We start from the raw sequence: 2,603 nt of genomic DNA, 5'->3' as shown, positions 1-2,603 counted from the left end.
TTTGGGGTATGTTTGCAATTTAAAGTGTTTTCTTCTGTCACATTTCAAGACATGGTTAAAGAATGAGGTTTTTTTTTATTTTAATTTTTTTTTTTTTGAGACGGAGTCTTGCTCTGTCGCCCAGGCTGGAGTGCAGTGACTCGATCTCGGCTCATTGCAAGCTCCGCTTCCTGGTTCACGCCATTCTCCTGCCTCAACCTCCCAAGTAACTGGGACTACAGGTGCCCGCCACCGCGCCTGGCTAATTTTTTGTATTTTTAGTAGAGACAGGGTTTCACCATGGTCTCGATCTCCTGACTTCGTGATCCACCCGCCTCGGCCTCCCAAAGTGCTGGGATTACAGGCATGAGCCACTGTGCCCTGCCAAGAATTAGTTATTTTTGTATTGATCCATCATGGTCACTGAAGAGCATCATCTCACATTGCAGGTGTATGACATGTGCCTGTTCAGGGGCAAAAGACTCGGCCTTCTGGCGAGGGGAGGCCAGCCATCAGACTTCTGGACCAGTTTTTACCATACTATTCTCTAAACCCTGATATATTCCCTACAATTTATGGACATTGTTAACCATAACATACCTCAGTTAAAATCTATAAATTCACTTCTTATCAAGGTATATACTATGATTTTATTTATTTATTTTTTGTAGAGATGGAGTCTCCCTGTTTCCCAGGCTGGTCATTGACTGCTGGATCATGTGATTCTTCTGTCTCCATCTCCCCAAGTTCTGGGATTACAGACATGAGCCACCACAATTGGCTACTACTTTTTTAAAAAAATCACCTTGAGTCCTATGGGGCCAATATGTTTTTGAAAACTGAATTTCCTGCCCAGTAAAGAACAAAGTCAGCATCACTATTCCAATCAAGTCTTTCTTTCTCTGGTAACATGCTGTTGATGCAAACTTGTCAGGAACCCTCTTATGCTAATATTATGAAGCTAATGACATCGTGGAAAAGTCATGCATGGAACAATCCGATCATTTCCTTTAAGGTGTCATGGGTGCTTCTCTTCACAAAAGCTTATTTCAGTCTCCCTAGAGTAAAAATCCCAGTCCCAGCAGACATAGAAGCAATCACTGACTGACCAAACCTTAACTATGTGTGATGACATATGGAAAATACCTTGATTTGTGAGATATGAATTTTTTTTTTTTGGAGACAGAGTCTGGAGGACAGTGGTGCAATCTTGGCTCACCGCAACCTCTGCCTCCTGGGGTCAAGTGATTCTCCTGCCTCAGCCTCCCAAGTAGCTGGAATTACAGGCACCTGCCACCATGCCTGGCTATTTTTTTGTATTTTTAGTAGACAGGGTTTCACCATGTTGGCCAGGCTGGTCTCAAACTCCTGACCTCATGTGATCCACCTGCCTCGGCCTCCCAAAGTGCCAGGATTACAGGTGTGAGCCACCATGCCTGGCCAAAAATTCCTTTTTTTTTTTTTGAGATGGAGTCTTGCTCTGTTGCCCAGGCTGGAGGGCAGTGGCGCGATCTCGGCTCACTGCAAGCCTCCGCCTCCCTGGTTCACGCCATTCTCCTGCCTCAGCTTCCCGAGTAGCTGGGACTACAGGTGCCCGCCACCACGCCTGGCTATTTTTTTGTATTTTTTTTTTTAGTAGAGACAGGGTTTCACCATGTTAGCCAGGATGGTCTCGATCTCCTGGCCTCGTGATCCGCCCACCTCGGCCTCCCAAAGTGCTGGGATTATAAGTGTGAGCCACCACGCCTGGCCCAAAAATTCTTATTTTGACTATTCATGTCTTATTTTTGCACTTTTTCACAAAGCAAGGTCAAAAAGCAAAGGAAAAATCCTTTAAGATCAATGTACTTAGGTTGAAAATGTGTTTTTTCTCAGGAAAAACTTGTAATTTATATAATTACAATCCTCAGTTTATTTGCAGCATCACCAAATTTTCTTACATATTTCAAATGTGAACTTAAGATATATATTTTTCTCATTATTTACATTTTGCTTCCTACCTATGGCTTTTTTTTTTTTTTTTTTGAGACAGAGTGTCGCTCTGTTGCCTAGGCTGAATTGCAGTGGCACGATCTCAGCTCACTGCAACCTCTGCTTCCCAGGTTCAAGCAAGTCTCGTCACAACCTCCCAAGTAGCTGGCACTACAGGCGAACACCACCATGCCCAGTTAATTTTTGTGTTTTTTGTAGAATTGGAGTTTCACCATGTTGGCCAGACTGGTCTCTAAACTCCTGGCCTCAAGCGATCCATCTGCCTCGGCCTCCCAAAGTGCTGGGATTATAGGCATGAGCCAACATGCCTGGCTCCTCTAGACCTTTTAAATCTTTTACTCATGATATTGGTCAGCCCACGGTCAAAATAATTCATAAAAGGTATATACAAAAATTCAACACCACAATGAAAGTTAAATTCATTTGTTTAGAACCACTCAAGCAACTCAGGTGTACACAGATAGACCTGTGGCAACTGGTGAACAATTAAATGGCACAGAAGTGGCTGGGTGCAGTGGCTCATGCCTGTAATCCCGGCACTTTGGGAGGCCGAGGCGGGCGGATCATGAAGTCAGGAGATTGAGACCATTCTGGCCAACATGGTGAAACCTGTCTCTACTAAAATACAAAAA

This window comes from Homo sapiens, chromosome 19 (assembly GCF_000001405.40).
Source record: "Homo sapiens chromosome 19, GRCh38.p14 Primary Assembly".
NCBI classification, from domain to species: domain Eukaryota; kingdom Metazoa; phylum Chordata; class Mammalia; order Primates; family Hominidae; genus Homo; species Homo sapiens.
This window is presented reverse-complemented; position numbering follows the sequence as displayed.